This window comes from Homo sapiens, chromosome 14 (genome assembly GCF_000001405.40).
Source record: "Homo sapiens chromosome 14, GRCh38.p14 Primary Assembly".
Lineage (NCBI taxonomy): Eukaryota > Metazoa > Chordata > Mammalia > Primates > Hominidae > Homo > Homo sapiens.
In genome coordinates, this window is record NC_000014.9 from 44,985,313 (window position 1) to 45,000,134 (window position 14,822).

At 38.1% G+C, this 14,822-nt stretch overlaps 1 protein-coding gene across 9 annotated transcripts in view, besides 1 other annotated feature; it reads left to right on the top strand.

Moving 5' to 3' along the window:
* TOGARAM1 (TOG array regulator of axonemal microtubules 1) overlaps window positions 1–14,822 on the top strand; it is a 112,242-nt gene that overhangs the window by 23,123 nt on the left and 74,297 nt on the right. For all 9 annotated transcript variants that reach the window (NR_131765.2, XR_943403.3, NM_001308120.2 and 6 more), the window contains exons 2-3: window positions 10,434–10,590; window positions 14,051–14,185. Coding sequence is in view for 7 of the 9 variants with exons in the window: in NM_001308120.2 (NP_001295049.1) it covers window positions 10,434–10,590; window positions 14,051–14,185 (292 nt within the window). In the remaining 2 variants the exon portion in view is untranslated. The remainder of the gene's footprint in view (window positions 1–10,433; window positions 10,591–14,050; window positions 14,186–14,822) is intronic.
* Window positions 4,554–4,673: an enhancer, noted in NCBI's record as "active region_8297". NCBI's record gives its function as "activates an Ori minimal core promoter by ATAC-STARR-seq in GM12878 lymphoblastoid cells {active_cell/tissue: GM12878}" and the evidence as "EXISTENCE:reporter gene assay evidence [ECO:0000049][PMID:35858748]".

The following is a 14,822-nucleotide window of genomic DNA, read 5'->3' on the forward strand; positions in this document are numbered from 1 at the left end:
TTCAGATCCTTTTTAAGCGGCAAAAATAAGCATGTGTGTTAACATCATCCCAAAGCATATATGTATCCTTTAACTCAGCAGTCCCCAATCCTTTTGGAATCAGGGACCAGTTTCATGGAAGATAATTTTTCCATAGACTAGGGGGTGGGGGATGGTTTCAGGATGAACCTGTTCCACCTCAAATCATCAGACGTTAGATTCTTAGAAGGAGTGTGCAACCTAGATTCCTTGCATATGCAGTTCACAATAGGGTTTGTGCTCCTATGAGAATCTAATACCACCGCTGATCTGACAGGAGGCAGAGCTCAGGCAATAATCCCAGTGATGGGGAGCTACTGTAAATACATTTGAAGCTTTGCTCCCTTGCCCGCCGCTCACCTCCTGCTGTGTGGCTGGGTTCCTAACAGGCCAGGACCAGTAGCAGTCCATGGCCCAGGAGTTGGGAAACTCTGCTTTAACCTATTCATTGGTTATTCTATGATGTATAAATATAAGACACAAGAGTAAATTATAAAAACAAGTTTGATGATCAGTGATTTGCATTTTTATCTTAATTAGAAATTGTTCAGGATCTAAAGAGTTTTCATTAATTCAATTTTAGTCCAAAATCTTAAAGTTAGCTAAGGGTCTGAAAATTACAATAGAAGCTGATATATTAAGCATTATAAGATTTATGGCATTATAAGAATTGACCTATTTTTATAAAGGTATTGTCTTATAAAACTTAGTTGAAGACATGATTTTACAATTTTGTATTTTGAAAGTAGTGTTGTTAATGTATACAATCTGTGAAACCATTAGAGGAAATTTAAGAAATTTAAGTTAATTAGGTTTTTCTGAGAAAAACCTATGGTACAGCTTGCACAACTATATCATACTAATATTATTCTTACATGGTGGTAAAATCTAGACAAATAACTGTTTTTAAGCAAGTATAATTTGTCCAAAGAGTTATCTTAATTAGATGACTTATGTGAACTTTTTTGTTGTTGTTAGAGACAGAGCCTTGCTCTGTTGCTCATGCTGGAGTGTAGTGGCATAATCATAGCTCACTACAACCTCAAACTCCTGGGTTTGAGCGATCCCCCTACCTCAGCCTCCCGAGTAGCTAGGACTACAGGCTGGGGCCAACATACCCAGCTAATTTTTTAATTTTTCATAGAGACAAGATCTTGCTCTGTTGCCTGTTGCCTAGGCTGGTGTTGAACTGCTGGCCCCAAGTGATCCTTCTTCCTTGGCCTTCCAAAGTGCTGGGATTACAGGCATGAGCCACCACTCCTGGCCCAACTTTTTCTAAACAATTATATGCCAGATACTACAGATACTAAAACTTTGAAGTTTATTAAGAATTTTTTTTTTCTTGTTCTTTTACCAAGTGACTGAGGTATTTAAACTCAAAACTAACCTGTGTTGGCTGGGCGCGGTGGCTCGAGCCTGTAATCCCAGCACTTTGGGAGGCCCAGGCGGGCAGATCACGAGGTCAGGAGATTGAGAACATCCTGGCTAACACGGTGTAACCCCATCTCTACTAAAAATACAAAAAATTAGCCGGGCGTGGTGGCGGGTGCCTGTAGTCCTAGCTCCTCGGGAGGCTGAGGCAGAAGAATGGTGTGAACCCAGGAGGCGAGCTTGCAGTGAACCGAGATTGCGCCACTGCACTCCAGCCTGGGCGACAGAGCGAGACTCTGTCTCAAAAAAAAAAAAAAAGAAAGAAAAAAGAAAAAAAAATGTTGTTGCCAAAATGTAAATTGAGGTGAAAACACAGTTTAGTTTTAGCCTGCCACCACACCCGGCTAATTTTTTGTATTTTTAGTAGAGACGGGGTTTCACCATGTTGGCCAGGATGGTCTCGATCTGACCTCGTGATCTGCCCGCCTCGGCCTCCCAAAGTGCTGGGATTACAAGTGTGAGCCACTGTGCCCAGCCATAACATTTTTTTTTCTTAAAGAGACAATATATTTAAAATACATAAAAAGTAAAAGAAACTACTATCAGAGTGAATAGGCAACCTACAGAATGGAGAAAATTTTTGCAATCTACTCATCTGACAAAGGGCTAATATCCAGAATCTACAAAGAACTCAAACAAATTTACAAGAATAAAACAAACAACCCCATCAACAAGTGGGCAAAGGATATGAACAGACACTTCTCAAAAGAAGACATTTGTGCAGCCCACAGACACATGAAAAAATGTTCTCATCACTGGCCATCAGAGAAATGCAAATCAAAACCACAATGAGATACCATCTCACACCAGTTAGAATGGCAATCATTAAAAAGTCAGGAAACAACAGGTGCTGGAGAGGATGTGGAGAAATAGGAACACTTTTACACTGTTGGTGGGACTGTAAACTAGTTCAACCATTGTGGAAGTCAGTGTGGCGATTCCTCAGGGATCTAGAACTGGAAATACCATTTGACCCAGCCATCCCATTACTGGGTATATACCCAAAGGACTATAAATCATGCTGCTATAAAGACACATGCACACGTATGTTTATTGTGGCACTATTCACAATAGCAAAGACTTGGAACCAACCCAAATGTCCAACAATGATAGACTGGATTAAGAAAATGTGGCACATATACACCATGGAATACTATGCAGCCATAAAAAATGAAGAGTTCATGTCCTTTGTAGGGACATGGATGAAGCTGGAAACCATCATTCTCAGCAAACTATCGCAAGGACAAAAAACCAAACATCACATGTTCTCACTCATAGGCAGCAATTGAACAATGAGAACACTTGGACACAGGAAGGGGGACATCACACACTGGGGCCTGCTGTGAGGTGGGGGGAGGGGGGAGGGATAGCATTAGGAGATATACCTAATGTAAATGATGAGTTAATGGGTGCAGCACACCAACATGGCACATGTATACATATGTAACAAACCTGCACATTGTGCACATGTACCCTAGAACTTAAAGTATAAAAAAAAATCGTAAAAGCTTTTGAGTTTTATTTAATCCAATATGATATAAGCACTTAACGTATTAATATGATGTTTATGAGCCAATTGAAACAGCTTGTTCCAGCTAATTTTATCCTGATTTATTAATACTGCCCATAGGGTAGACAGTATATATCAATTTGTGTGCTCAAAAAATATTTCATTCTCATGAAATAACAAATTTTTCTCTTTTTTATAACATAGATAATCTAATTTTGATTAACCAGCAGAATTTAAGATGGAAGCAGGTACCAAACTATTAGGAATGTTGATCAGTTAAAGAGACAAAAACATATATTCCTTGTAGCAGAAGTATTATTGTTGAGTGGTAGTTTCAAATATGTTTTCATAAATTCTTTGAGATTCTTCCTTTGAAGAGTTGGAGTCTAATTCCCCTCTGAGTGTGTTTGGATTTAATATAGCTCATTTCTAACAACTGAAGTAGAAGTAATAGTGTGTGATTTCAGAAACTAGGTCATAAAAAGGCACTGCAGCTTCCATGTCAGTTGCTCTCGCTCACTTGACTTGCTCTGAAGGAAGCCAGCTGCCATGTCTTGAGTAGCCCCTTGGGAGGCCCAAATGGCAAGGAACAGAGGCTTCCTGACAGTAACCACGTGAGTGAACTTCAGTGATTTTCAAGTATCAGTCAAGCCTTCAGTTGACAACAGCCTAGCTAACATTTTGATTGCAGCCTTAGAGTAACCTGAAACATCCAGCTAAGCCACTTAGCCAGAATCAACCAGCTAAGCTGCTTCCAAATTCCTGTTCCACTGAAAAAGAGATAACAAGTGTTTGTTGTTTTAATCTACCATTTAGGGATAACACATTAAACAGCAATACATAATGATAGTTGTAATTCCCAAAAATTTGATAAGACACTTTTTTTCGATGTCCATATCTTATACAATGACATTGAATTTTCTGTGTTTTTAAAATGCTGAACTTGCCTAAGATTTGGAAAACTGTTAAATATTATTTTATTTGGCTTTTGGAAGACATTTTTCTGACTCACTTCATCTAATTTATAATTAAATAAATGTTTTCACCATCCGTTCTTTAGCTTTAGAGTTCCGAAGTAATGTTAATTTGCAGTTATTCAATTATTTGTAGAAATCAAAGAAAACTGATCATTGAATGTTATAAATTTTGTTTCCTTTCTTCTGTGGTATAGAATTCCATTTTTGTAGACAGTGACAGGTAGGGTCCATAATAAGCAAACATGAAAAAGCCTTGAGTTTTGGAAGGAGAAGAGTAAAGGAGCAGCCTATATCAGTACATTAAAAAAAAAAAACTGTATTAGTCCATTCTCATACTACTATAAAGAATCAGCATTTTGTTCAAAACCACAAGTCTCTAGGAAGTTCCAGGCTTTTCCACATCTTCCTGTTTTCTTCTGAGCCCTCCAGACTGTTCTAGCCTCTGCCTGTTACCCAGTTCCAAAGTCACTTCCACATTTTCAAGTGTCTTTATAGCAGTACCTCACTACCTCAGTACCAATAAACTATAATAGTCCATTCTTACACTGCTATAAAGAACTGCCCAAGACTGGGTAATTTATAAAGAAAAGAAGTTTAATTGACTCACAGTTTTGCATGGCTGGGGAGGCCTCAGGAAACTTACAATCATAGTGGAAGGAGAAGAGGCACATCTTACATGGCAGCAGGTGAGAGAGAGCGAATATGTGAAAGAGGAACTGTCAGACACTTGTAAGACCATCAGGCCTCATGAGAATTCACTATCATGAGAACAGCATGGGGGACATGGTCCCCATGATCCAGTCACCTCCCACCAAGTCTCTCCCTTGATATGTGGGGATTATGAGGATTACAATTCAAGACAAGATTTGGGTAGGGACACAAAGTTTAACCATATCATAAACATAAATGAAAAGACAATAAGGAAAGCAGATTCTAGATTCCCTGCCAGGTGCCACCTGACTATACTATCATCCAGCAGAAATCACCAAATAGACCGTAAAATCAAAACCCAGTTTCACCCACTGCTGCCGTCTGTGTGAACACAATTGTCCATGTGCTCAGTCAGAATCAGCCTTTGCCAAGAATATAGTTGCACACATATCTTTGTGTATTATATTGTGGCACATGAGCCACATTGCTCAGTCACTTATATGAGGAAAGTTTAACTGAGAACTCAAGACTCTAGGTCTCAGAAAGGATGCACTTTCAGGCCACATGTTTAACTCTCCTGTTTGGACTCAGAGGGACAATATATTAGTGAAATCTACAGAAATAAATGTCAAACAAAGAATCAGAGACATTTAGTTGGTTATTTCACACACTAGTTATTTTGCATGCAGTTTGCAATATTTTTTCCTCTCTTTGATCAGTCCTGGTTCTTCCTTGATTCAGCTGATTACCTTACTTTTAGCATGTATGAAAACAAACTGCACACAAAATAGCTAAATAGTCTGTATTTTGTTTGCACATTTTATGGGTGTGGTTAGCTGACGGCTACAGAGAGTTCAGTGTGGGTATTCTCCCTTTGTGTAGGCAGTTTACAGATATTTTAAAAAAAACACTTTGGGTTTTTTTCTTTTGTTTTTGAGATGGGGTCTTACTGTGTTGCCCAGGTCGGTCTTGGACTTGGGCTCAAGTGACCCTCCCACCTCAGCCTCCCAAAATGCAGGGATTACAGGTGTGAGCCACTACACCCAGCTGAGGCTTTTTTTTTTTTTTTTTTTTTTTGGAGACAAGGTCTCACTCTGTCTTCCAAGCTAGAGTGCTGTGGCACAGTTATGGCTCACTGCAGCCTCGACCCCCAGGCTCAAGTGATCCTCCCACCTCAGCCTCCTAAGTTACTGGGACTACCGGAATGCAACACCAGGCCTGGTTAATTTTTTATTTTTTGTAGAGATGGGGTCTTGCCATGTTGCCCAGGCTGGTCTCAAACTCCTGAGCTCAAATAATCCTCCCACCTCCACCTCTCAAAGTGCTGAGATTAAAAGCATGAGCCACTGCACTCAGCCTTAGTTTTTTGTTTTTGTTTTTTTTTTATTTTAGCTATGTAGCATATGTGACAGTCTTTCTAAAGTCTGCCAGTCTCCTTCTGTCAGCACTGCTACCTTAAGCCATGTAGGTACCATTTCCCTCATTGGAATTTTTTCCTTATCAATCTGAGAAAAGCCTGGGGAGCAATCTGAATGTTCCATCAAAGGAGAGTGGCACATCTAGTCAATGGAATATTAGGCAGCCATTAAAGATAATTTATGTCCTTGGACTCAATAGTTCCGTTTTTAGGACTTTTATACTATAGGAATATAATACACAAAGATATGTGTGTAACAATGTTCACTGCAAGATTGTAATAGTGAAAAGTCGTGGCAAAGAAAATGTCCATCAGTAAGGAACTATGAGTCTAAAATAAACAGATATGTATTGTCTTACATGGAAGGATGTCTACATATTTACTCTGTGCCAGAGTATCATGTGATTTATTTTTGTTTTTTTTTTAAAATAGCTTATTGAAGAATGTTTACATATAGAAAAAGACCTGTTAACAGGATTTATCAGTAGGATTCTACTGAGAAGGGTCCCAAAGAATAATTTAAGTTTATATCTTATTTCTATAGTTTGCATTTTTTAAATTTAATTTTTCTTTTGATAACTTTGGTATTTTTTATATTTTTTACAATAAGCAATTATTATTTTTGTAATTAAAGTTTATAGCCAGGCATGGTGGTGTGATCCTATAGTCCCAGATACTTTGGTAGCTGAAGTGGCAAAACCCTTGAGCCCATGAGTTCTAGGCCAGCCAAGAGAACATAGTGAGACCCTGTCTGTTAAAAAAAAAAAAAAAAAAAAAAAAAAAAACCAAACCAAAAAAAAAACACCAAAAAGTATAGCACTTATAAGGGGTTTTAACAGCATGGGAAGTACTTTTATTATAATGTAAAGTGCAAAAATCAGGATATAAAGTTTACATATAGTATCACAGCTATTTTTTCTAAAGTGTACATAGGAAAATAATTTGAAAGACAAATACAGTGATGTTTACAGAAGGTAACTGTGGTTAATGGGAATAAACTTGTTTAATGCCCAGCATTAAGGGGCAAGGGTGGAGTCTGGGTGAAACCAGAAAGAACTGGTAAAAGGTGAAAGGTTCAAAAACTGGAGGTCAAGATAAAGTTTAGTACAAGTTCAGTAAAGCCAGGAGTATAGGTGATTTCTGAGAGAATTAGATATTAAAAGGTCTTTTTCTGGTAATTTTTTGCTACCAAAATAGAATTAAAACTATTTTTGAGATGCTTTAATACTCCCTGCCAAAAGCTGCAATAGGATGCATTAGGTCAGAGGATTAAACAAGAGTAAATTTTTGTAATCTTTTTTTTTTTTTTTTTTTTTTTTTGAGATGAGTCTCCCTCTGCCTCCCAGGCTGGAGTGCAGTGGCGCGATCCTGGCTCACTGCAAGCTCCGCCTCCTGGCTTCACGCCATTCTCCTGTCTCAGCCTCCCGAGTAGCTGGGACTACAGGCGCCTGCCACCACGCCCGACTAATTTTTGTATTTTTTAGTAGAGACGGGTTTTCACCGTGTTAGCCAGGATGGTCTCGATCTCCTGACCTCGTGATCTGCCTGCCTGGGCCTCCCAAAGTGCTGGGATTACAGGCGTGAGCCACCATGCCCGGCCTAATTTTTGCAATCTTTTTATGAAAAATATGCAGGGATTCAAATAGAAAGACTAAGAGATAATAGGCTGTGTGTAGTGGCTCACGCCTGTAATCTCAGCACTTTGAGAGGCCAAGGTAGGCAGATCATTTGAGCTTGACGGTTCGAGCTCAGCCTGGGTAACATGGCAAAAAATAAAAAAATAAAGTAAAATAAAATAAAGATAAATAAAATAAAAATAAAATTAGCTGGGTGTGGTGGCACATGCCTATAGTCCCAGCTACTTGGGAGGCTGAGGTGGGAAAATCACCTGAGATGGGGAAGGTCGGCTGCAGTGAGCCATGATCATGCCACTGCATTCCAGCCTGAGCAACAGAGTGAGAACCTGTCTCAAAAACAAAAACAAAAACAAAAACAAAAACAAAAAAAGATTGAAACAGTAAATAACACTATGTAAATTTCCAACCATTATTAATATTAAATGTGAAACTTGCTTTTTTATAATGTTTTAATTTACTATAACTCTAAGGAATTAAATAAATTTTTAGGTATTAACTGCAAAGGTTGAAAATTCAGTTCCATGTTCCTGAGAGTCATCAATCAGGTGCTTTAAATAGACTGCTTCACATTTTGTAACGTTAACTCACAACTCTTTCAAAATTTATGAATTCTATTTTCTTTTACTCTAAACCACTTTTTCTTCGTTCATTGTTTCGTCCCATCAAAACTTACCCTAATGAAAATCTTTTACTTTTAAGAGAGACCTAAAGAGGACTTTCATGTTAATTGGTATGTCCTATAGTCTGCTTTCAGATGCACAATCTTCTATAGCAAAACTTAATCTCTGCCTGACTGCTGAAGATTTCTGAAAATGCCACATTCACATATGCACACACCACCACCCTCATCAACATTACCACCTCCACCAGTTGTTGTATGTATCTGGCCTATATACTAATATCTGTTTGCTAAACAGAAATTAATCACAAAGTAAATCTAACATAAAATGTATTCCATACTGTAGAATTATTTCTGGATTACTCACTATGTTAGCTGTATTAATACATCATCTTTTAATATATCTAATCAGAAGTTGACTATAATTGGTTTTGTTTTTATTCCATTATATCCTTTTGATACTGACTACTGTATAATCAATCATGGACGTTAACTGGGTTTTGAGACAGTAAAGTCAATCCTTTTTTATTACGGCATTCTTCTGTTTTTTTTGAGGCAGAGTCTCACTCTGTTGCCCAGCCTGGAGTGCAGTGGCATGATCTTGGCTCACCGCAACCTCTGTCTCCTGGGTTCAAGCAGTTCTCCTGCCTCAGCCTCTGTCTCAGCCTCCCGAGTAGCTAGGACTACAGGTGTAGGCTACCATGCCTGGCTAATTTTTGTATTTTTACTATGGATGGGGTTTCACCATGTTAGCCAGGCTGGTCTTGAACTCTTGACCTCAAGTGACCCACCCACCTTGGCCTCTCAAAGTGCTGGGATTATAGGCATGAGCCATCATGCCCAGCTGAGGGCATTCTTTTTTTTGAGACAGGGTCTCAGTCAGTCACTCAGGCTGGAGTGCAGTGGCACAATATCAGCCCACTGCAGCCTCTACCTTTCAGGTTCAAGTAATCCTCCTACCTCAGCCTCCCGATTAGTTGGGACGACAGGCACATGCCACCATGCCTGGCTAATTTTTGTATTTTTTGTAGAGATGGGATTTCACTATGTTGCCAAGGCTGATCTTGAATTCCTGGGCCCAAGTGATCCACCTGCCTCTGCCTTCCAAAGTGCTGTGATTACAGGTGTGAGCTACTGCACGTGGCCTCATCTGGGCATTCTTAATTTTGTTACTTATCATTTCTGGGTTAGTTTTTGAAGGAGGTAATAGGTTTTTCACAAAATTTGATAATAAATAACGTGTACCTGAGGCATAATAGACTTACCTTTAATTTTATTTTGCCATTTGATAATTGGCAAAGTTTACAAAGAAATATACTGACAAGGTTTTTAGTTCACCACATCTAGATTTGATTGTGTCTATGAGCTCCAAATAAATATATAGGAAGCATAATTTCCTGTCAATGCATTCAGTTTTTTTAAAGTTTTATAGTCATGTTGAATGTGAAGTGATCCGGGACAATTGAGGTCATCATTGTTGAAGAATTTTGAACATTTGATTCATGCTCTCATTTAGTTCTTTAACTGATTATGTGCAACTTCAAAATTGTATCCTGGCACCTTTGTTCCTTAACTATCATATGGGGTTTATGAGAAAGGACTTGGAAACTATGAAGTACTATACATATATAAAGTATTATTTACTGGTTTTAACTAAGAGACCTAGTGTAAGAAAATACCCTAAGGGAACTATGACATAGGTTGCCATGTTATTTACATTGACATTTAGGCTGCAGAATATGGATAATAGATTTGCCTCAGTAAGAACAGTGTAGTAGAATGCTTGCTTGTTCAGTGACCTTCAACTGGCACTTATTGTCTAGTACTCAAACAAAGATAGCATAGTTTGAGGGGTTACGCTGCTCCGTCAGATCATTGTTTTTGTCATTTGTATTCTCTCCTTCCTTGTTGCCAGAGTCTGCTGTAGGATGGTAAGGAACAGTAAAGGGTTGGGGTGAAGTAGTAAGAAAAAACAATTAGCATTTCTCTTCTGGAATGAAAAGTACTGTTGGTGTACCCGACTAAATATGGATGTTTATCTGTATCATTATATATTTGATAAATTAAAATTTATTCTAACCTGAATTTCATAATTGGATCTAAGTTATTTTGTCATATTTATTACCAGGAAGAATTAACACAAATTTGCTAATTTATGATTCTGTTCTTATAGTTTTCAACATATGATTTCATCCCATCTGCAAAATTAAAGCTTTCTCAAGGAATGCCAGTCAATGATGATTTATGTTTTAGCAGAAAAAGAGTATCAAGAAACTTATTTCAGAATAGTCGGGATTTTAACCCAGATTGTCTTCCTTTATGTGCTGCTGGTAAGTACAAGTTGCTGATGATGGTCATGTTGAACTAACAGACTTCTCTTAACTTCATAGTGCATTCAATGACTCATAGAACTTTAATCTAGTAGGCAGTTCAGATTCAATAAGTTATTTATTGAAGATCTGATAAGAATGGACACTTAGACATTATTATCTCATAAAACCCTGGAGGGTTTCTCACTGAAATCGTTTAAGTATTAATATAGGGCAATATTTGCTTAATACATCACCCATATTTATTAAGGTGCTTTTCTAAGTCCTGGAGGTCTGCCTAATAGAGCTTGCATTCTACTTAGGAACGAGAACAGACATTAAATAAATACAAGACATAGTAAGTTATCTGGTGATAAATGCTATGAAGGAAAACAAAGCGAAAGAAGGCCATATTCAGGAAAGAATATTTGAAGCAAACCACTGTATATCAGGAGAAGAGAATAAATAGTTTCAGGAAGAGGGAACAGTCAGCACAAGTAACTAAGAGAGAAGTGTGTGGGGAACATGTTTGAGAAATACCAAAGAGACCAGTATGTCTGGAATGAAATAAGAGAGGGGAAAATAAGTAGAAAATTAAAGACATAATAGGGGTGCTTATTTAAGGCCTAGTGGACTTATAAGTGAACTTTACTTTTTACTCTGAATGAGGAGCATTTTGAAGAAAGAATTGACATCACTTGTTTCCAGGCTCATTTTGGATTTTATTTTTAAAATAGATGAAAGTGTATTAGTCTGTTTTCACACTGCCATAAAGACATACCTGAGACTGGGTAATTTATGAAGAAAAGAGGTTTAATTGGCTCATGGTTCTATGGGCTGCACAGGCTTCTGCTTCTGGGGAAACCTCAAGAAATTTACAATCATGGCGTAAGGCGAAGGTGAAACAAGCACGTCTTACATGGTGGGAGCAAGGGGAAGAGAGTGAAGAGGAAGTACAACACGCTTTTAACGATCAGATCTTGTGAGAACTCTATCATGAGAACAGCTCCAAAAGGAGAAATCTGCCACATGATCCAGTCACCTCCCACCAGGCCTCACCTACCTCCAACATTGGGGATTACCAATTCGACATGAGATTTGGGTGGGGACACAAAGCCAAACTGTATCAGAGAGCAAGGTCAAAAACAGGAAGACTGATTAAGAATCTGTTGTAGTAATCGTGGCTAGAGTTGATGGAGGCTTTAACCAGGATAGCAAGAATGTGGTAAGAAGTGATTGGATTCTGGCTTGGCGCGGTGGCTCACGCCTGTAATCCCAGCACTTTGGGGGCCAATGCAGGCAGATCACGCAGTCAAGAGACTGAGACCATCCTTGCCAACATGGTGAAACCCCGTCTCTACTAAAAATACAAAAATTAGCTGGACGTGTTGGTGCATGCCTGTAATCCCAACTACTCGAGAGGCTGAGGCAGGAGAATCTCTTCAACCCGGGAGGCAGAGGTTGCAGTGAGTCAAGATCGCACCACTGCACTCCAGCCTGGCAACAAAGCAAGACTCCATCTCAAAAAAAAAAAAAAAAAAAAAAAAAAAAGGTGATTGGATTCTGATTATATGTCAGCGGTAAAGTTGATATAGTTTGCTGGTAGATTGGGTATAGAATGTGAGAAAGAAGTGTCAATAATGCTGTAAGGATTTTTGGCCAGAGCAACTGAGAACATGGACTAAGTGTTACAAAAGTAAATATTACGGTACTTTAGAGGAAATGGTCATTGTCATTGACCATAACATTTAGAAGAAAAAGGAGAGCATAGGAAGAAACTGCCTTTGTGGATATTCTTCAACATACCCATCTTTATAAATGACCATATCATTTAGAAAGAGGTTGAGGCCGGGCGCTGTGTCTCATGCCGAGATCACACCACTACACTCCAGTCTGGGCTACAAGAGTGAGACTCCGTCTCAAAAAAAAAAAAGAAGAAGAAGAAAGAGGTTGAGGAGGTTGAGCTTGAGTTCTAAATGATAGTTTAGGATTTCAAGATATAGCACCCAGGTAATAAGAAAAATTGTAGTGTGTTGACAAAGTGATACCTATTAGAAGGGAAAATGGTTTAGAAGGTAAAGATTTGACTATGTTATAGATTTAAAAATGTATTTAACATCTAAATGATAACAGTTTTCAAAATTTGTTGGGTTTGATTTTAGATATATTATTCAGTAAACATTGTTCCCTAGGAGAATTTATAGACCTTTATGCAGTGAAATTCTATAGTATTTTCATACAAAAATGAAGTGGCATAATGACTGCATAGTTTATTTTATTGTTTAATAGAGAAGGAGAAATGCAAGAATATGTCCAGTTATGTTTGTGGCAGTTTTGATTTTGATTTTGATTTCTCTGTACCATTGAGGAGCTCATTTCCTAATTGTACAGATTCTAAACAACTGGAAAATAAGACAATATGTAAGCTAATGCTTGATTGGATGATATGAATTACAAATACTGTAAGGATTCAAGAAAGGAAAACATAGGTATTGAAGTGGTTTCAGAAAACTGCAGAAAAGAGATTGAGCTTGACTTTAAAGGAGGGAGAGGCTGGGCGCTGTGGCTCACGCCTGTAATCCCAGCACTTTGGGAGGCCAAGGCAGGCGGATCACCTGAGATCAGGAGTTCGAGACCAGCCTTAAATAACTGAGGCAGGAAGATCACCTGAGCTCAGGGAGGTCGAGGCTGCAGTGAGCCAAGTTTGCGCCACCGCATTCCAGCCTGGGCAATAAGAGTGAGACCCTGTCTTAAAAAAAATAAAATAAAATAAAAAGATATCCAGAATATGAAAGATAAAGAGGCTTGATATGATAGGGAGAGAATTTTTTTTTAATCATACAGTTTCAGAACTACAAAGGATGGGCTCATTTAATAGATGGATAAACTAAACGCCAGAGGAGTCATTACCACCTTTTTTTCTTTAGACTTATTCATCTTCCCAGGAATAACCTTAACCAGACACAGGAGGGGAAACAGGAAACATATCTGGATATGCTTAGAATCTGCGTGAATACTGTGAAGTATATTAGAAAAGAAAATAAAAGAGGTTGCAGCGGTTGCAGTGAGCCAAGATCACACCACTGCACAAAAAAAGTAAAGTAGAAAGGAAAAGAGTTTGGTAATAGAGCTTTTTGGGTAATGCGTATACTACAAATACTGGGAAGAAAGCAAGCCAGGTCTGGAGAAACGTTCCATGCTGAGAGAAAGAGTGTAGGAAGAAACTGCTTTTGCAGATATTCTTCAACATACCTGTCTTTTCCCTGTTCTTTACTAGTCTGTCTTCTGTCCTTTAATTCCTGCCACTAATCTGATTTTCTAGTATCAAAAGCTGTATCCCTTTCTTGCCTGCCTACCTCACTGTACTTAAACACTTATATTTATTTCCACCTAAATTACACCAACATTTATGAAATAAAATGTATTCATGAAATAAAGTTAACTTTTGCTTTTATGTTTTCTCCCTTCCTTTCTTCAAAAGGTACTACTGGGACTCATCAAACAAATCTTTCTGGGAAATGTGCACAACTTGGATTTTCACAAATATGTGGTAAAACTGGCAGTGTGGGTTCTGACTTACAATTCCTAGGGACAACTAGCAGTCATCAAGAAAAAGGTATAAGTTCCAAATTTACTTGGAAACAAATGACTTATAAATATTATGTGGGGATTCCAACACTAACTTATATGATATTTTGTGTACTCATACTCATCACAAAAAATAAAAGGATTTTGTTATATTTTTAATAACTTTTTTCATAATTGTTACCCTAAAGTATTAGTTTTCATAATCTTTATATAAATACAACTGATTAAAATTAGAGTTTAGATACTCATGGTGGAGATGAGTATTGCATTTGCTTTGATATATACATAATAGTGGTACATATTTGTGGGGGACATGTGACATTTTGATATACAATGTGTAATGATCAAATTAGGCTATTTAGGATATGCATCACCTGAAACATTTGTCATTTCTTTGTGTTGGGAACATTACAAATCTACTCCTGTGGTTATTTTGAAGTACATAATAAAGTATTGTTAACTATAGTCACCTTATTGTGCTATACTGAGCACTAGATCTTACTCCTTCTTATTTTATTTTATTTATTTATTTATTTATTTTGAGATGGAGTCTTGCTCTGTCGCCCAGGCTGGAGTGTAATGGCAGGATCTCGGCTCACTGCGACCTCCGCCCCTGCCCCCGGGTTTTGAGCAATTCTCCTGTCTCAGCCTCCTGACTAGCTGGG